The sequence below is a fragment of the Homo sapiens genome, chromosome 8 (assembly GCF_000001405.40).
Source record: "Homo sapiens chromosome 8, GRCh38.p14 Primary Assembly".
NCBI lineage: Eukaryota > Metazoa > Chordata > Mammalia > Primates > Hominidae > Homo > Homo sapiens.
The window spans coordinates 70,785,125-70,806,647 of NC_000008.11; the positions used below are offsets into that span (position 1 = coordinate 70,785,125).

At 37.2% G+C, this 21,523-nt stretch overlaps 1 protein-coding gene across 1 annotated transcript in view, besides 1 other annotated feature; it reads left to right on the top strand.

Annotated features, from left to right (window-relative positions):
- The window catches only part of XKR9 (XK related 9), a 396,467-nt gene that overhangs the window by 115,786 nt on the left and 259,158 nt on the right, over nucleotides 1-21,523 (top strand). The gene's annotated exons all lie outside the window — the stretch shown is intronic.
- Nucleotides 19,601-20,458: an enhancer, noted in NCBI's record as "OCT4-NANOG-H3K27ac-H3K4me1 hESC enhancer chr8:71716960-71717817 (GRCh37/hg19 assembly coordinates)". NCBI's record gives its function as "activates a minimal SCP1, AML or CMV promoter by ChIP-STARR-seq in naive H9 embryonic stem cells {active_cell/tissue: H9 hESC(naive)}" and the evidence as "EXISTENCE:reporter gene assay evidence [ECO:0000049][PMID:30033119]".

Here is a 21,523-nt window from a genome sequence, read left to right on the forward strand (position 1 = left end):
GTCATCAGGTCCTAGGCTTTTCTTTGATGGGAGACTTTTTATTACTGATTGTATCTCCTTACTAATTATTGGTCTCTTCAGATTTTCTATTTCTTCATTATTCACTTTTGGTAGATTTTATGCGTCTAGGAATTTATCAGTTTCTTTTAGTTTATCCAATTTATTCATGTATAATTATTCATAGTAGTCTCCTATGATCGTTTTTATTTCTGTGATATCAGTTGTAATGTCTCCTCTTTCATTTCTGATTTTATTTATTTGAATCTTCTATTTTTAATCAGTCTAACTGAAAGTTTGCCAATTTTATCTTTTTAAAAAATCAACTCATTTTCATTGATTAACAATTAAACAATTAAATTGTTTTTCTAGTCTCCATTTTATTTATTTCTCCTCTGATCTTTATTATCTCTTTCCTTCTGCTTGCTTTGGGTTTAGTTTCTTCTTTTTTTATAGCTCTTTGAGGTAGAATGTTAAGTTGTTTATTTGAGATCTTTCTTCTTTTATAACATAGGAATTTATTAGTATAAATTTTCCTCTTAGAACTGCTTATGCTGTATCCCATAAGTTTTGGTGTGTTGTATTTACTTTTTTTTGCTCTCTCTCTCTCTCTCTCTCTATATATATATATATATGTATATATGTGTATATATGTATATATATATGTATGTATATATACTTACATACAACATACCTAAATTTATATTTATCTATATTTATATATTTTCTATGTCATTTGTCTCCCAGGCTGGGCTGTAGTGGCATGATCATATCTCACTACAACTTTGAACTACTGGGCTCAAGGAGTCCTTCCACCTCAGCCTCCAAAAGTGCTGGGATTACAGGTGTGAGCCACCATACCTGGACTTCCAAGATAGTTTTAAATTTCCCTTTTAATTTCTTCGGTGACCCATTGGTTGTTCAGGACCATGTTGTTTAATTTCCATGTATTTGTTAATTTTCTGAAATTTTCTTGGTATTGATTTCTATTTTTATAACATTGTGGTTGGAAAAACTACTTGATATAATTTCAGTCTTCTTAAATATGCTGAGGCTTGTTTTGTGCTCTAACATGTGATCTATCCTGGAGAATATTTTGTGTGCACTTCAACACAATGTGTATTCTGCTGCTGTTGGATGGAATATTCTATGTATGTCTGTTAGATCCATTTAGTCTAAAATATTTTTCAAGTTTAATGTTTCCTTATTAATTTTCTGTATGGATGATCTATTTATTGTTTTAAGTGGGGGTACTGAAATCTTCTATAATTATTGAATTGTGATTTATTTCTCCCTTCAGACCCTTTAATATTTGTTTTATATATTTAGATGCTCTGATGTTGGGTACATGTATACCTACAGTTATATTTTCTTGATAAATTGACCCATTTATCATTACATAATGTCCTTTTTTTGCTTCTTTTTACAGTTTTTGACAAAGTCTGTTTTATTGGATATAAGTATAGCTAACACTACTCTTTTGGTTTCCACTTGCATGGAATGTCTTCTTACATTTCTTCACTTTCAGTGTATTTGTGTGTGCCATTATTCTTTTGTATGCAGCATATAGTTGGGTCTTGTTTTTTCAGTCCATTCAGTGACTTTGTGTCTTTTTATGGGAGAATTTAATCCATTTACATTCAGGGAAATTATCATTAGGTAAGGACCTACTACTGCCATTTTGTTAGTTACTTTCTTGTTGTTTTGGATATACATTTGTTCTTTCCTCCTGTCTTACTGTCTTCCTTCGTGGTTGATGGTTTTTCTGTAGTAGTATGCTTTGAATCTTTTCTATTTTTGTTTTGTGTTTCTATTAAGTATTTTTGGTTTGTGGTTACCAAAATGTGTTTTCGAATATGGCTGTGAGTAGCTCAGGTAGACTCTTGGAACGAGATATTAACTACATTCTTCCAAAATTAGGCAATCATGCAAAGTCTTTAAGTTTAGAACTAATCCTGGAGCAAAGCTTGTTTAGTTAAGAGAATGGAAGAGAGAAATTTATTATTGCACAGATATGATTAGCAAAATTGTTCAATAACATCCTGTATCTCCATGTTGTAGCCAAATGCTTTCACTGAAAACAAATTCTGCTGCTTGTTTACATACAGACAAGAATTTTTTTAAAGAAGTAAGAATAATGATACTGATCACCTGTTTGAATTTTTAAATATGTTTCTCTAAAAGTAACCCTGGAGAAAATTTTAGGGGATAATGCTGGAACAGTTGTTTTTCTCAAAAGACCACCCTAGTGGGTGACTCAGTTAAGAATTATTTGCTGTAAATCTTCAATGCAAAATAGGCTTGGAAATATCATCATGGATAATGGCAAATGTTGGGAGAAGAAATTAAGTCTAGAAACCCAGGACCTGAGGAGAGTGAACGGGGTTGCAGTGTTTAGGTGCTTTAGCATAGTCCTGAGTACACAGTGCATTCCACCAGAATAAAATGAGAAGCAAGAAGATAAACTTACGTAACAGTGCTTTGTTAATCTGGTTACTGAGCATATTTAAAACGCTACAGAAGAGAATACACCTCCATGGCTGTGGTCCATTTTATGCAGCTAGCAGAAAATACAGTTTTTACACAGACAAACCAAGTCTGTGTTTATTTAAGTACAGTTTGCTTTACAAAATGTTGCACTAGGTATCTACATGATACATTTTGACTAGCATTATTCAATACTATTTGGAGAAAGTCTAAGGCAATTTTTCTAGATTAATGATTTTTAGTGAAAGGATTATTAAGGTATTTGGTCAAGGCTGAAATAAAACATTTTGAGTGTCTTGAAAATAAGCAAATAAAAAAAAATTAAGAGGAATAGGTCCATGACATAGTATCATTTGTGACTAACGGTAACTTAACTTTGACCTTAAGTTAACTGAAGAAAAAAGTCTAATATTTTGAATATCCAAACTTCAACCAATTCAATGATAAATAACTTAATTAATTTCAGTTATCATTAATAGTTACACAGTGGTAAGACCAGCTGACCAGAGTTCAAACCTTGACTCCTCCACTGATCAGTTCTGTGTGATTATGTCTGTTGCACAGTTTCCTGTGGTAAATAATAGCACCAACCCTACAACGTAGTTCTGAGAATGGGGTTAGTGTACATGAATTGTGCATAGCTCCATGTCTGATGTTATTAAGTGTTAGTTGTTAGCTCATAAGGTTGTAACAGACACAGAAATAATTGTCAGTTGTTGCAACTTTTTCTGTTTTCTGTTGATGTTTTACAACATCGTGGAGCATTCTTGCTATGCAATACAAGTATGTCATACAAGTATGGTTGCTACCGTTGGGCAGGTGGGCCAGCAAAGTTGTATGAAATGTTCAAGCAACATTACATTGAATAATTTTTACACTGAATCATTGAAAGACTTTGCAGGCAAGCTTAACCAGCGCAGATGTTCATAAATTAAATATCCAAGTCTGTACTGAATTATTTACACTTATGTAACATGGTAATTATAAAAGCAATAGCATATATAGTTTCAAACAGTGATTAAAAAGTTAGATATCTATGATTTATGAAGCCATACTTCAATTTAGCTTATGTATATAACTTCTAGAAAGTATAGCTTTTTGGAGTTGCCTAACCTGCTAGTGGGAAGAATTAAACTCCATCAGGTAAAAGCAAATGTTACAAGATAATGTTTAACAAAAATTTGACCTGATCTATAAAATGTACTAAAAATTACATTTCTGCAAGTGCGTTGGAAGGCCTGGATGTGAGAGTGTGTTGGGGCTATACATATAAATGTGGGTCATATGTGAAACAAACTAAAATCTGAACATTTTAGGTCCATATCCTGTTGTATGCTTGCTGATTGACTACTGGACTAATCCTTGTTTCATCTATCAAATATGAGAAAATATAGTGAAGTTCCTTATGAGGACCATTATAATTTAGTTTTTCAAAAATGCTATTTAATCAAACTAATTTACATCACCAGTGATCTCATGACTAACTAGAATGGTCCTTTTCTATTTCTTGCCAATTTCATTTACAACAAACAACAAAACACAGTTTACGTGTAACTTAGGTCTGAAGGGAAATATCTATACTGTGTATAGTAAGTATAAGAAAAAGAAAAAATTAAGTGTAATTTTTAAAAATTTAATTCAATTCTTTAGAATTAAGGCCTAGGAGACCACGAAGAATATGTTAGAAATGTTAGAATGATTGTGGTTTACCTAAATCTTCATACATATAGGAAGCTTTGAAAAATTCAAAAGAAAATATGCAAGGCTGGATTCAACTTCATCTACAAAGAGAACTTTGATAACTGCACAATCATCAATCATTCTCAGAGAACAGAAAGCTCCAGTTCAAGCCTGTAAGTCATTTCTTTGTTGATATTATGGTATGGTGGTCAGCTCTGTCTCAATGCAGACACAGTGGTACAAAAGAATGAAGTAGAGATGAGGAGGTAACTATTAGCAAAAGGAAATCTGTTTTTGAGTAAGACAAACACTCTGCAGTGATTTTCATTGAAATTTACACTTTTCTAAATATTGGCCATTATATAGAAATCTCAGACTCATCTCATCTTTCTACTCTATGGGATCTTAATTTTTCATGACCTATAGTTTTTTTTTAGTTAATAAAACAGAATAAATAATTTAAAAAGCAAAGTCATCTTGTGGAATGTAGGTTCAGGTTTAAGTAATTACTGTTCTTGTTTTACTGCATTTTGATGAGCACCAACATTCTAATTATAGTCCAGCATCTCTTGTTTGGCAGGCAATGCCAATGCCAATCATACTCCATTATATATTGCTATGGAGTAACCATTAGCAACAATTGCATTCACCACCCCAATTTTTGACTAATGCTCCATCCACATGAGCGCTCTAGTCTCCAGAGATAAGAACAGCTATACTCACTGTGCTCATTGTCCCAGTCACCTTTGACAATTGTTTCTTTTTTTTTTTTTTTTTGGCCTCATGTCACAGATTATCTACTAAAGGACTCATCTTAGCCCTGTGATTAAAAAGAATTGATTACTTCGGCTGTTTCTTATAGCAAGATCTTTACTTTCATCTAAAATAGTGCTCTTATATTTCACACTGAGTTTCAAAATTCCAAAGAGGAGACCTGTACACTACTGTGATTTGATGTGATAGAATGCCAAAGTGGGGGAACAAGTTGAAAGTAGGTCCAAAACTTCACTAATTTATATGAAAATGTGCCTTTAAAAGTATTGAATATATAAAAGTATTAGAAGTTAGTTTCTTTTTCATATTTTTAATTGTCTAAAAAACAAGTTATCAGTTGCATGAGATATTTTGTACTTAGTCATTCTCATTTCAGAGAAGCTTAGTTTTAATGAGTTCATACCTTGAAATGCTCTGACTCCCCTTTAGTTCCGTAAATGTCTGTTCATGAGAGGATGGTTCACATTAATTACAGTGTCTTTTCATCTTCCTTTGCATGCAGCAGGGTTCCAATGTCCAGCACCTTGCATCTGAAATGAAAGAAATGGGGAGAGGATGTTTGCCTTTTTATATCCTAGTATATATTATATGATAGTACTAACTTCTCCTATCTCAGAGTCCCCAAAATAACCTCTTACAGTCTAGTCTTTATCCTCTGCAATTTTGTTTTTTCCTGTAAGGCATAATTGTCTTAGTACTTTTGGATTCCTATATCAAAATACCATAAATTGGGTGGCTTATTAGCAACGGAAATTTATTGCTCACAGTTCTGGAACTGGAAAATCAAAGATCAAGGTGCTGGCAGATTTGGTATCTGATGAGGTCCTGCTTCCTTATAAATGGTGCCTTCTTGCTGTGTCCTTACATGGTGGAAGGGGCAAACAGCTCACTCAGGCCTCTGCTATGAGGGCACTAATCCCATTCACGTGGTCAGAGTCCTCATGACCTAATTACCTCCCAAAGATCCTACTTCCTAACACCATCACCTTGGGAATTGGGGGAGGATTTAAACATAAATTTCAGGGGTGAGATATAAACATTCAGGCCATAGCAACAGCAGTAAGGGATTTTATTGATTCTGTAATCTATTCCATGAATACTTCCGCACTTCTGAAATAAGAATGGGTCTTTTGGCCAGGCATCTTGGCTTTGTAATCCCAGCGCTTTGGAAAGCTGAGGTAGGGGGAGGATTGCTTGAGCCCAGGAGTTCAAGACCAACCTGAACAACAGAGTGAGCCCTCATCTCACTTAAAAAAAAAAAAGAATGGGTCTTTCAATCAATGGCATATTTTTCTTAGCAGTACACAAAGTATGGATTAAAAAATGATTAATATGATTTGAATGTTTATCTTTTTCCAAACCCATGTACAAATTTAATTGTCATTGTAATAATATTAAGAAGTAGGACTTTTAAGAGGTGATTAGGCCACGAGGGCTTTGCCCTTATGAATGGATTAATGTTATATTGTGGGAGTGGGTTCCTTCCTTATAAAAGGATGAGTTAAATACTTCTTTCTTGTTCTTTCCATCCCTCTTTCTTTCTCTTTCCCCCACCACTCTCTTTTACTCTCTTTACCCTGTTGCCATGGAGTTATGCAGCAAGAAAGCACTCACCAGATGCTAGCCCCTCAATTTTGTACTTCCCAGCCTCCAGAACTGTGAGCAAATAAATTTCTGTCTGAGTTACTCAGTCTGTGGTATTCTGTTATAGCTTCACAGAACTGACTAAGACACTGATGAATTTTTGGATTGTATAAAATTCAGCAACAATACCTAAAATTTATTAGGGTTTACTAAGTCTCAGTATTTTAAGTGATTTACCCCCTTCATTTATAAACTCTACAAGAATTTCTATAGAAACTGAATTTCAGAGGGGCCAAGTGACTTAGTAAGTAAGTAAGCCAGGCTTTGGGCACGTGTCTGTTTGAGGGAGTCCCTGTTTTCACTGTTTCCTACCACACACTTCTCCTCTGTCCAAGCCTGTCCTTAAGAAAGGATCAGTTATTCGATCTTCAGTGTTCTTTCTTCCAAGTGTTTTTGCAATTTAGAGATAAAGGATATCTCTCTAATTTTGGAACACTAATCATGCAGAGTACAATAGCTTACAAAATATTTTAATTTATTCAATTAACACTAATAGACTCTTTTTCTTTTTCTGGGCATTATGGGGAAACAAAAATTACTAGAAAATCATTCCTATCTCCAAGGGCTCAGAGTCTAGTGGTGGAATCTCAGACAATCATTACAACAGTGGGGAAAGTTTTAGAGCAGGGATAAGTACCAAGATCCTCAGGCGTGAGTTGCCTCAAAGTTGAACTGAGCTGGGCTATATCTGTAGTAGTTAAGAGAAGTCTTCCCTGAGGAAATGACCTTGAAGCTGAGTTTTGAGTCACAAGAATTTGCTTCAGGGTGTCATGTACTGTGCCAGATGATGAATAAATGAGGAAATCAATCAGTCAACAAAAGAAAGAAATGAACTATGGAGTGAAAAACACTGAGCCCACAACTCTGGAACACTGACATAAGAAGCAGTTAGTGCTAGACAGGGCTTTAAGGAGCCTGACAAGGCTATTCTCTAGAAGAGTGGAAAGAGATGGGTGTGGGGGCAGTGAAGAAATGATAGAAGGTTTCTGAGAAGCAAGAAGGCTTCAAGGAGGGAATGGCCAACATTACCAAAAGTTGCAAAGAAGAAAAATTATAATCACTGAAACAAGCTTATCAAATTTGTCTCCTTATAAAAGACACCCCAGAAAGCTCTCTCAGCCTTTCTACCGTGTGAGAACACAGTGAGAAGAAAGCTATCTATGTACCAGAAAAGAAGCCCTCATCGTAGACTGAATCTACTTGATCTTGGACTTTCCAGCTTCAAGAACTATTAGAAATAAATGTTTGTTATTTCAGGCCACCTAATTTTTAGAATTTTTGTTTTAACATGAATGGACTAAGACAATTACAAAGGCTTACACTTATGTTTTCTTCTAAGACTGTTTTAGTGTAAGCTCTTCTGTTTAGATCCTTGAACCATTTTGACTTCAGTGTTGTATATGGTGTGAGGTAGGCATTCAAATTCATTCTTTTGAATATAGATATTAGCCTTCTCTTGCCATTTATTAAAATGAGCATTCTTCTCTCATAGAATGCTTCTGGAACATGCTAGGGTTTGGGTGTTTGTACCCTCCAAAACTCATGTTGAAACTTAATCCTCAATATGGAAGTATTGAGAGGTGAGGTCATTAAGAAGTGATTGGGTCATGAAGGCTCTGCCCTCATGAATGAATTAATACATACATTAATCAATGGATTAATGGATTAATGAGTTATTTTGGGAATTGGACTGGTGTATTTATAAAAAGAGGAAGAGAGACCTGAGCTAGCATGCTCAGCTCCTGTGCCATGTAATGCACTTGGCCATCTTGGCACTCTGCAGAGTACACCCCACTAGCACAAATACCTTCAGCAGATGTGGTCCCTTGACCTTGGACTTCTCAGCTTCCAAAGAAATGAATCCCTTTTCTTTATAAATTACCCAGTTTCAGGTGTTTGATTATAAGCAACAGAAGATGGACTATAACAGCACTCTCATCTAAAACCAATTGATCATAGATGTATAGGTTTATTTCTGGACTTACAATTATAATCCACTAATATATATTTATCTTTATGTCAGTTCCACACTGTCTTGATTATTGTAGCTTTGTAGTAGAATTTAAAATTGGGAAGTGTGAGTTCTCTAACTTTGTCCCTTTTTTTTTCAAGATTTCTTTGCCTGTTTTGGAACTCCTATAATTTCGTAGAATTTTAGGATCAGCTCTCCATTTCTGTCAAAAAGTCAGTTGAAGTTTTGATAGTGAGTGCATTGAATCACTAAGTCAATTTGGGAGTAGCTTAACAATTTAAGTCTTCAAATCCATGAACACAGGATATCTATCCATTTACTAAAATAAAAGCAGAGATATTTAATTTCTTTCAATGAAGTTTTGTAATTCTTAGTGTACAGTTTTTGTGCATCTTATGTTAAATGACAACTTTGTGTTTTATTTTTGTTTGATGCCTTTATAAATGAATTTGTCTCCTTAAATTCACTTTTAGGTTGTTCATTGCCAGTGTGTTGAAATACTACTTATTTTTGCATACTGGCCTTGTATTCTTCAACTTTGCTGAACTCATTTATTAGTTCTAACAGGTTTTTATTAGTATTTTAGGATTTTTACAGTTAAGATCATGCCATCTACCTATAGAGATAGTTTTATTCCTTCCCTCTCAATCTGGATCCCTTTTATTTCTTTCTCTTGCCTAATTACCTTGGCTAGGATTTCCAGTACAATGTTGACTAGAAGTGGTGAGAATTAGCATCCTTCTCTTACTTCTTACCTTAGGCAGAAAGCTTTCAGTCTTTCACCATTAATTTTGATGTTAGCTATAGGTTTTTCATATGACCTTTATTAGATTGAGAAAGTTCTGTTTTCCTAGTTTGTTGAATGCTTTTATAATGAAGAGTTGATGGATTTTTTCAAATGATTTTTCTTTGTTGATATGATCATGAGTGTGTGTAGTTTTAAACTGTCATTCTATTAATATGGTGCATTATATTGGCTGATTTTTGAATGTTGAACCAACCTTTATTCCTGGAATAAGTCCTACTTATTCCAGGTGTCTTATATGGTGTCTACTCCTTTTTATTTTGTTTGTTTGATTGGCTAGTATTTTGTTAAGGATTTTTGTGTCTATATTCGTACGATATAATTGCTTGTAGTCTTCTTTTGTGTGTGTGTGTGTGTGTGTGTGTGGTATATTTGTCTAATTTTGTTATCAGGATAATACTATCCTCACACAATAAACTAGAAAGTTTTGATTCTCTTCTGTTTTCTGGAAGAGTTTGTAAAGAATTAACGTTAATTATTCTTTTTGTTGTTGTTTATTATTATTTTTAATTTAACTTGTAAGTTCAGGGCAGGTTTGCTATATAGATAAACTTGTGTCATGGGGGTTTATTGTACAGATTATTTTGTCATACTGGTATTAAGCTTAGTACCCATTAGTTATTTCTCCTGATCCTCTCCCTCCTCCCACCCTCCACCTTCTGATAGGCCCCAGTGTGTGTTTTTCTCCTCTATGTGTTCATAGGTTCTCATTATTTAGCTCCCACTTGTAAGTGAGAACATACGATATTTGGTTTTCTGTTCCTGTGTTAGTTTGATAAGAATAATGGCCTTCAGCTTCTTCCATGTTCCTGCAAAGGATAGGATCTCGCTTATAGCTGCATAGTACTCCGTGGTGTATATGTACCATATTTTCTTTATTTAGTCTACCATTGATGGGTATTTAGGTTGATTCCATGTCTTTGCTATTGTGAATCATGCCACAATGAACATATGGACACATGTCCACACATGTCTTTATGATAGAAAAATTTATATTCCTTTGGGTATATACCCAGTAATGGAATTGCTGGATCACATGGTAATTCTGTGTTTAGGTCTTTGAGGAATCACCACAACGTCTTCCATAATGGTTGAACTAATTTATACTCCCACCAACAGTGTATAAGTGTTCCTTTTTCTCCATAACCTTGTCAGCATCTGTTATTTTTTGACTTTTTAATAATAGTTATTCTGACTGGTGTGAAGTGCTATCTCACTGTGGTTTTGATTTGCATTTCTCTAATGATCACTGATGTTGAGTTTTTTTTTCATACGGTTTTTGGCTGCATGTATATTTTCTTTTGAAAACTGTCTGTTCATGCCCTTTGCCCACTTTTTAATGGAGTTGTTTGTTTTGTTTCTTGCAAATTTGTTTAAGTTCCTTATAGATGCTGGATGCATAATTTGCATCTGACAAAGGTCTAACTTTCTCCCATTCTGTAGGTTGTCTGTTCACTCAACATTTGGTAGAAGTTATCAGTTAAGTCATTTGGTACTAGACCTTTCTTTGTGGAAAGTTTTTTGATTACTCACTCAATTTCTTTTCTTGTTATAGGTCTATTGAGATTTTGATTTTTTTTTTTTTAGTTTTTGTTTCATGTTCAGGAGTACATGTGCAGGTTTTTTGACAGAAAATTGCATGTCACAGGGGTTTGGTGTACAGATTATTTTACCACACAGGTAATAAGCATAGTACAAGAAGTAGTTTTTCAATCCTTACCATCCTCTGTCCCTCCACCTTCTACTAGGCTCTGGTGCCTGTTATTCCCTTCTCTTTGTTCATATGTACCAGATTTTGAATTTTTTCTTGAGTCAATTTTGGTAATGTCTTCCTTTCTGGGCACTTTCCCATATTATCTAAGTTATCTAATTTGTTTCTTTACAATTGTTCATTGTTTTTCCTTATAATCTTTTATATTTGTGTATGTTCAGCAGTAACATTTCCTTTTTTCTTCATCATTTTAGTAATTTGAGTCTTCTTTCTTTTTGTCAATCTTGCTAAAGGTTGGTTTACTTTGTTTATTTTTTCACAGTACAAACTTTTGGCTTCATTGATTTTCTTTTTCGTTTGTTTTAATTAACTTCAGCTCTGTTTTTTATAGTTAGATTATTGACTTGAAATCTCTCTTTTGTAACTCTAATAATGTTACAAAATTTATTGACTAATTTGACATTTGTAAAGCATATCACTGTAAGGTAAATTTAAAGAAATGTCAATAGAATACCAGCTTCATTTTAAAATTAAATACTGTGTGTTACTTAAAAGAAAGAATGTTAGAGACACAGGACATACTGCTAGGCCTAGCACATAGTAACCACTTAATACATATTTGTTGAATGAACACTTAAATTGTTCCTTCTCAACCCTAACATAACATATATTATGCCTTTAGGTTACAGGCTTAAGAAGACAAACATGACAGTGGCAGATATGTGTGTATTGACCCTTCCAGACTGTACTGGCCTTGTGAACAAAAAAAATTACCCTTCTGAAAGGTAATTGGAGACAGGATCCTGTGACCCCAGTTAGCACCTGCAGCATTAAACCTCCATTTATTGGGTTCAAATAGTGGTTGCTGGATTTTTAGGAGACCTCTGTCAAAATGCAAGGTGGGAAAGTTCACACATGAATCCCTTTTCAACTAACACTTCAGTCTGTTGTTTTATCAGTTAATGCTTCAGCAAGGATTTTAAAAAATGAGGTAACAGTCAGAGTGAGGGGTGTGCGCACACACACACATGCACATTTTAGGTGGAGAGGTAGTGTGGAGAGTAGAGGGTGTCACCTGGCTGAGAGTACCTGGGAAAGGACAGGCACATGAACAAGAAAAGCAGGAGGATACCAAGACAATTTTTACCTCCTCCGCACTTTAGCTTAGGTGTGGCCTTTCTTCTAAGTGCCCGCCTCTACTTGGATTTGCATGTGGATTCAACCTTTTGAACTGAATCATCTAATTTTTAAATTTTGATAAAAATATTCCTTCTTCTTCAACTCTTATCAGATATGATCCCAAAGCTACATATATAATCTTTAACTTTTAGCAGCCCTTGGTCTCATAGCTACAATAACTGCAGATTTTTTTTTTTCACTTTTATTTTAGGTTCAGGGGTACAATGTGCAGGTGTGTGAAATAGGTAGATTTTGTGTCATGGACATTTGGTGTGCAGATTATTTCATTGGCATAGTACCCAATAGGTAGTATTTCCATCTTCACTCCCCTAACCTCCACCCTCAATGAGGCCCTGGTGTCTGTTGTTCCCTTCTTTGTGTCCATGTGTAACCAGTGTTTAGCTCTCACTTATAAGTGAGAATATGTGGTATTTGGTTTTGTGTTTCTACATTAGTTTGCTTAGGACAATGATGTCCGGCTGTATCCATGTTGGTTCAAAGGATATGATTTTGTTCTTTTTTGTGGCTGCATAGTATTCCATGGTGTGTATGTACCACATTTCTTTATCCAGTCTATTATTGATGAGCATTTAGGTTGATTCCATGTCTTTGCTATTGTGAATAGCACTGCAATGAACATATAAGTGCATGTGTCTTTATGGTAGAATGATTTATATTCCTTTGGATATATACTCAGTAATGGGATTTCTGGGTTTGAATGGTAGTTCTGTTTTATGTTCTTTGAGAAATTGCCACACTGCTTTCCACAATGGCTGAACTGTTTACATTACTACCAGCAGTGTATAAGTGTTCCTTTTTTTTTCTGCAACCTTGCCTACATCTGTTATTTTTTTGACTTTTTAATAATATCCATTCTGACTGGTGTGAGGTAGTATCTCATTGTGGTTTTGGTTTGCATTTCTCTGATGATTAGTGATGTTGAGCATGTTTTCATATGCTTGTTTGTCACATTTGCCTTCTTTTGAGAAGTGTCTCTTCATGTCCTTGGCCCATTTTTTAATGAGGTAGTTTGGTTTTTGCTTGTTAATTTAAGTTTTTTATAGATTCTGGGTATTAGCCATTTGTTGGGTAAACAGTTTGCAAATATTTTCTCCAATTCTGTAGGTTGTCCGTTTACTGTGTTGGCAATTTCTTTTGCTCTGCAGAAGCTCCTCAGTTTAATCAGGTCCCATTTGTCAACTTTTGTTTTTGTTGCAATCGCTTTTGAGGTTTTTGTCATGGAATCTTTGCCAGGACCTATGTCTGGAATGGTATTTCCTAGGTCATCTTCCAGGGTTTGTATAAAAGTTTTACATTTACATCTACAATCCTTCTTGAGTTAATTTTTGTACATGGTGTAAGGAAGAGGTCCAGCTTCAATCTTTTGCACATGGCTAGCCAGTTATCCTAGCAGCATTTATTGAATAGGGAGTCCTTTTCCCATTGCTTGTATTTGTTGACTTTGTTGAATATAAGATGGTTGTTGAGGTACAGCTTTATTTCTGAGTTCTCTATTTCTGTTCCACTGGTCTATGTGTCTGTTTTTGTACCAGTACCATGCTCTTTTGGTTACTGAAGCCTTGTAGTATAGTTTGAAGGCAGGTAATGTAGTGTCTTCAGCTTTGCTATTTTTGCTTAGGATTGCCTTGGCTGTTCAAGCTTTTTTTTGGTCTCATATAAATTTTAAAATAGTTTTTTCATTTTCTGTAAAGAATGTTATTGGTAGTTTGATAGGAATAGCATTGAATCTGTAGGTTTCTTTAGGCAGTGTGGCCATTTTAACAATATTGATTCTTCCTATCCATGGGCATGGAATGCTTTTTTCATTTGTTTGGGTCAGCTTTGATTTCTCTGAGCAGTGTTTTGTAATTCTTATTGTAGAGATTTTTCACCTTTTTATTAGCTGTATTCCTAAGCATCTTATTCTTTTTGTGGCTATTGTGAATGAGATTGCATTTATTTATTTATTTTTTTTGAGACGGAGTCTCACTCTGTAGCCCAAGCTGGAGTGCTGCGGTGCGATCACGGATCACTGCAACCTCCACCACTGGGGCTCAAGTGATTCTCGTGCCTCAGCCTTCTGAGTAGCTGGGACTACTGGTGCGTGCCACCATGCCCAGCTAATTTTTTTGTATTTTAGTAGAGACAGGGTTTCACCATGTTGCCCAGGGTGGTCATGAACTCCTGAGCTCAGGAGATCTGCCCGCTTCAGCCTCCCAAAGTGCTGGAATTACAGGCATGAGCCACTGTGCGAGGCCGAGATTGTATTCTTGATTTGTCTCTCAGTTTGGTTGTTGTTGGTGTATAGAAATGCTACTGATTTTTGTATATTGATTTTGTATCCTGAGACTTTGCTGGAGTTGTTTATCAGCTTAAGGAGCTTTTGGGATGAGACTATGGGGTTTTCTAGATATAGGATCATGTCATCTGCAAATAGGGGTAGTTTGACTTCCTCTCTTTCTATTTGAATGCCTTTTATTTCTTTCTGTTTCCTGATTTCTGAGCCCAGAACTTCCAATACTATGTTGAATAGGAGTGGTGAAAGAGGACATCCTTGTCTTGAGCTGGTTTTCAAGGAGAATGTTTCCAGCTTTTCCCATTCAATATGATGTTGGCTGTGGGTTTGTCAGAGATGGCTCTTACTATTTTAAGGTATGTTCCCTCAATACCTAATTTATTGAGAGTTTCTAACATGAAGGAATGTTTAATTTTATCAAAAGCCTTTTCTGCATCTATTGAGATAATCATATGGTTTCTGTCTTTAGTTCTGTTTATGTGATGAATCACATTTATTGATTTACATATGTTGAACCGACCTTGCATCCCAGGGATAAAGCCTACTTGAGCATCATTAATATGCTTTTTGATGTGCTGCTGGATTCAATTTGCTAGTATTTTGTTGAGGATTTTTGCATCAATATTCATCAAGGATATTAGCCTAAAGTTTTCTTTTTTTTTGTTTTGTCTCTGCCAGGTTTGGTATCAGGATGATGCTGGCCTCATAAAATGAGTTAGGGAGGAGTTGCTTTACCTCAGTTTTTTGGAATATTTTTAGGAGGAAAGGTAGCAGCTCTTTTTATACATCTGGTAGAATTTGGCTGTAAGTCCATCTGCTATGGGCATTTATTTTTAGATAAAGTGTTGCTCTGTCACCCACGCTGGAGTGCAGTGGGGCGATTGTGGCTTACTGAAACCTTTGCCTCCTGGGCTCAAGTGATTCTATTGCCTCAGCCTCCCAAGTAGGTGGGATTACAGCCAACTGTCACCACGCCCAGCTAATTTTTGTATTTTTAGTAGAGATGGCATTTCACCATGTTGGCCAGGCTTGTTTCAAACTCCTGACCTCAAGTGATCTGCCCGCCTCAGCCTCCCGAAGTGCTGGGATTACAGGTGTGAGCCACTGTGCCTGGCCAGGTTCTGGGGTTTTTTGGTTGGTAAGCTTTTTATACTGATTTAACTTTGAAACTGATTATCAGTGTGTTCAGGGATTCAATTTCTTCCTGGTTCAGTCTTGGGAGGTCATATGTTTCCAGGAATATATCCATTTCTTCTAGGTTTTCTAGTTTGTGTGTATAGAGGTGTTCATACTAGACTCTGAGGTCTCTAAGGTTTTTTTTTTTTTTTTGTATTTCTCTGGTGTTCGTAGTAATATCTTTTTGTCATTTCTGATTTTTTAATTTGAATATTCTATTTTTTTAAAAAAATTAGTGTAGCTAGTGGTCTATCAATCTTATTTATGCTCTTTCAAGGAACCAACTCATGGATTCATTGATATTTCATATGGTTTTTCATGTCTCAGTTTGCTTCCATTCAACTCTGTCTTTTGCTACCTTTGGAGTTGGTTTCCTCTTGTTTTTCTAGTTCCTCTAGGTGTGGTGCTGGGTTGTTAATTTGAAGTTTTCATAACTTTTTGATGTGAGTTTTTAGGACTATACACTTCCCTCCTAACACTAACACTGCTTTAGTTGTGTTCTAGAGATTCTGGTATGTTGTATCTTTGTTTTCATTGGTTTCAAATAATTTGTTTCTGCCTTAACTTTATTGCTGCCCAAAAGTCATTCAGGAGCAGGTTGTTTAATTTCCATGTAATTTTTTGGTGTTGAGTGATATTTTTAGCATTATTTTCTATTTTCATTGTGCTGTGATCTGAGAGTGTGTTTGGCACGGTTTCTTTTTTTAAAATTTGCTGAGAATTGTGTTATGGCTGATTGTGTGGTTGGTTTTAGAGTATGTTCCATATGCAGATGAGAAGAATGTGTATTCTGTTGTCTTTGGATGAAGTGTTCTGGAGATGTCTGTTAGGCCCATTTGGTCATACATCAAGTTCAGATCTCAAATATCTTTGTTAGTTTTCTGGCTCAGTGATCTGTAATACTGTCAGTGGGGTGTGGAAGTCTCTCACTATTATTCTGTGGTTATCTGAGTCTATTCATAGGTCTCTAAGAACATGCTTTATGAATCTGGGTGCTCTTGTGCTGGGTGCATATATATGTACAATAGTCAGATCTTCTTATTGAATTGAACTGTTTCCCATTGTGTAATGCTCTTCTTTTTCTTTTTCTTTCTTTTTTTTTTTTTTGAGATGGAGTCTTGCTCTGTCGCCCAGAGACTGGAGTGCAGTGGCATGATCTTGGCTCACTGCAAGCTCCGCCTCCCAGGTTCACGCCATTCTCCTGCCTCAGCCTCCCGAGTAGCTGGGACTACAGGCGCCCACCACCACGCCCGGCTATTTTTTTGTATTTTTAGTAGACACGGGGTTTCACCATGTTATCCAGGATGGTCTTGATCTCCTGACCTCGTGAGCCGCCCGCCTCAGCCTCCCAAAGTGCTGGGATTACAGGCGTGAGCCACCGCGCCCGGCCCTTCTTTTCTTTTTCGATCATTGCTGGTTTAACATCTGTTTTGTCTGAAATTAGATTATCAACTCCTGCTTTTTTTCTGTTTTCTGTTTGTTTGGTAGATTTTTCTCTTTCCCTTTATTTTGAGCCTATAAGTGTCACTGCATGTGGAGTGGGTCTCCTGTAGACAGCATACAATTGGGTCTTGTTTCTTCATTCAACTTGCCACTCTATGCCTTTTAATTGGGGCATTTAGCCCATTTACATTCAAGGTTAATATTTATATGTGTGGGTTTGAACCTGTCATCATGTTATTAGCTGGTTATTATGCAGCCTTGATTGTATTGTTTTATTGTGTCTGCGTTCTTAAGTGTGTTTTTGTAGTAGCCAGTAATTGTCTTTTCTTTCCGTATTTAGCAGTCCCTCAAGGACCCTTAAGGACACATTGTAAGGCAAGTCTGGTGAAATAAAATTCCCTTAGCATTTGCTTGTCTGAAAAGGATCTTATTTCTCCTTCACTTTTGAAGTTTAGTTTGGTTGGATAAGAAATTCTTGGTTAGAATTTATTTTATTTAAGAATGCTGACTTGAAGGGTTTCTGCTAAAGCTCTGCTGTTAGCCTGATGGGCTCCCTTGTAGGCAGCCTGCCCCTTCTTCCTAGTTGCCTTTAGCCATTTTTCTTTCATTTCAACTTTGGATAATCTGATGACAATGTGGCTTGGGGGTGGTCTCTTGTATAGTATCTCATAGGAGTTCTCTGCATTTCTTGGATTTGAATGTTGGCTTCCCTAGCGAAGTTGGGGAAATTTTCATCAATGATATCCTCAAATATGTTTTTCAAGTTGCTTGCTTTCTCTCCCTCTCTTTTAGGGTTGACAGTATGACATAGATTTGGTCTCTTTATGTAATCTCATATTTCTCAGAGGTTTTTTCATTTTCCTTTATTTTTTAAATTATTGTGACTGTTATTTCAGAGAATTGGTCTTCAAACTTGGACATTCTTTCCTCAATTTGGTCATTTCTGCTGTTAATATTTGTGATTGTATTATGAAATTCATGAAGAGAATTTTTTTAGCTCAGTTCAGGTTGGCTCTTTCTTGAAATGGCCATTTAATTTTTTATCTCCTGTATCATTTTATTGTATTTCTTAGATTCCTTGGATTGGGTTTCAACTTTCTCCTAAGTGTTGATGACCTTCATTCCTATTCATATTCTAAATTCTACTTCTGACATTTCAGCCATTTCAGCCTGGTTAAGAATTATTGCTGGGGAACTAGTGCAATCATTTGGAGGTAAGAAGACACTGAGTTTTTGAGTTGCCAGAGTTTTTGCACTGGTTATTTCTCATCCGTGTGGGCTGATGATTTTTGAAGTTGCTGTCCTTTGGATGAGTTTTTTTGCTTTTATCTTTTTTGATTCCTTTAGAGGTTTGATTGTGGTATAAAGTGGCCTCAGTCAACTGGCTTCTATTTTAGCCTGCTTCTGGGTCTTGGAGGAGCATCCTTTGATAGCTGTTTTTGTACCCATGTTTCTTTTGTTGGGTGTTCTGGAAGTTCTGCTCCCTCAGGCAGGGACTGCATTTTGTGGACAGGCTATATCCTTGCCAGGTCAGCCCTAATCTGGTGACCAAGTGCTTCCTGGTAGAACATGGGGTTGTGCCTGACTGCAGAATTCAGGCAGAAGTGGGACTGCTGGGCCAGAAGCTCTAAAAGGTGTTGCCCTCCTGGCAACCAGTGGCAGGGATAGGTGGGGTGATTCCCACCTTCTGGGTGTCTCCCAGGACAACAGGAGGCTGCACTCTTTGAGTTGCCATAGAAGCAGGTCTGCTCTATGGGCTACAAGCTCTAGCAAGCATTGCCTGCCTGGCTACCAGTGGTGAGTGTGGGTGGGGTTGCCCTCCCTGCCATGCAGGTATATCCTGGGACATTAGGAGGCTGAGCCCTCTGGCTAAGTTCACACAGAAGCAGAACTGCTGGTTCAGATGCTCTAGCAGTTGTCATCTGTCTGGCTGCAAGTGGTGGGGGTAGGCGGGGTCACCTGCCCTGCTGTTTGGGTATTTCCTGGGATAACAGGAGGCTACGCCCTTCCACTGAGTTCACAGAGAAGTAAGACTGCTGGGTCAGGCAATTTTATAGTTTTAAGTTTTACATTTATATCTATGGTCTATTTGGAGTTAACTTTTATATACAGTACAACTTATAGATTCAAATTCTTTTTTTCTATATTAACTTTCTATGCCTCAATTATTTTATGTGCAAAGTGGGATGATCACTAAATTAAATAATAACATAGTACATGTAAAGCTTTTAGCATATACTGTTACATCACTGTTATTAGATAAAAACTGGGAAACAGGTTGGAAAATAGGATACATTAAAGGCAGGTGGTAAGTGTGCTTTTCATGGATAACACAGGGCGAAAAAATTATGAAACATACTGTTGTCTCTAAAAAATGGTTTTATACTGAGTTTTTGTGTAGTTTTAAATCTAATATGTTTAATTGGATAGCAAATTTTGCTGGTATTGAAGCTAAATATAATGGGTAGTCAAATAATATGAATGAATATAAATTTTTTGTTATCATTTTTGTCTTTACTTCATGGACTCATTTTATTTTGCATATTTCACAGACTTTTGGATTGGTAAAATCAATTCTAGTTTATATAAAAGAAAAAGAGCATTACACATTCCTTGAAAGCTGTGGTGACCCTGGGGTCCCTGATTCATAATTGCTTCACCTTCTACACAAATGTTTAAGATACTGGCCAATGGGTGAGGCCAAGATCGCAGACTAGAAACAGTGGTGATCAGAGGCTTCCATCAAAAAGAACCATAATAAGCATGTAAATCCTTCACTGGCAACCAAGGTATCCAGATTGTCTTATCAGAACTGACTAGGAGGCTGGCATGATCTGTGGAGAGGAAGGAAGGGCAGTGCAGCACAGCGGCCCACCTAAGAGCCACACAGGGCAGGGGAATCTCCACCCCCCAGCCAAGGGAGGTGGTGAGTGAGTGTGCTACCTGGCCAGGTAAACCGTGCTTTTTCCATGGAACTGTGCAACCCATGAATCGAAAGATCACACTCGTGTACCCACGCCACTGGCGCCTAGTGTCTCACCCCAGAGCTGCGCATATTCTCAACAGTCTAGCAGCTGGAATCTGCTTAGCCTACCGAGCTCCCGGGGGGAGGGGTGACCAGCACCACAGCTGTGGCTGCCTGCTGTCTAAGCCATTTGAGCTCCTTGGGGGAAGGGCAGAAGCCAGCACCGGGACTCACAACTGCCTAACACGCTAAGCTCCCTGGGTGGGGGAAGGGCGGCATTCATCTCTATAGCTCCAGGCTGTGCTTTTACCCTGCTGAAGCCAGGGAGACTGGACAACTTGGTCCCAAGACATGTTCCCCCACAGCCCAACACACTGGCTGTGGCAGACTGGCCAGAGTGCCTCTTCAGGCGTGACCCTGACTCATCCTTACTGGGTGAGGCTTCCCTGCAGGAACTCCAATAACTCCAGCCAGAGGCTCCCGGACAGAACCTGGATCTCCCTGGGCCTGAGCCCCTAGGGGAAGGAGTACCTGCAGTCTTTGCAGAACAGCAGATTTAGCCTTTCCTCCTGGTAGTTCTGAGGAGTATAGACAGCCCAGATGAATGTGCTTCCCCCTAGTGAAGCACACCCCCTCCACCAAGGGGCAGTGAAAGTGATTCATTAAATGGGTCCTGTTCCCCGTGCCACCAAACTGAGTGAGACCTTCCAACAGGAGTTGTCTGTCAGACACCCTATACAGGAGCAATCCTACTGGCATCAGGTTGATGCCCCCTGAGGTCAGAGATCCCAGAAAAAAGAGCAGGCACCCATCTTTGCTGTTCTCAGCCTCCTTGAGTGACATCTCCAGGTGCGGGAGTGAACCAGATGAATGGGGCCTGAAGTGAACCCCCAGCAAACTGCAGCAGCCCTACAGAAGAGGGACCTGACCATTGAAAGAAAAACAAACAAAAAGTAACAACAATAGCATCGACAACAACAAAGAAGTCCCCACAGAAACCCATTCCAAAGGTCAGCAGCCTCAAATCGAAACTACACAAACTCACAAAGTTGAGAAGGAATCAATGAAAAGATGTTGAAAACCCAAAAGGCCAGAGTGTCTCTTCTTCTCCAAATGATTGCAACATTTCTCCAGCAAAAGTGCAGAACTGGACGGATAATGAGATGGACAAATAGACAGAAGTAGGCCTGAAAAGACAGTTGATAAAAAACTACGCTGAGCTAAAAGATCAAGTTCTAACCCAATGCAAAGGAGCTAAGAACCTTGATAAAGATTAAAGGAGCTGCTAACTAGAATATCCAGTTTAGAGAGGAACATAAATGACCTCATGGAGCTGGAAAACACAGCATGAAAACTTCATGAAGGATACACAAGTATCAATAGCTGAATTGACT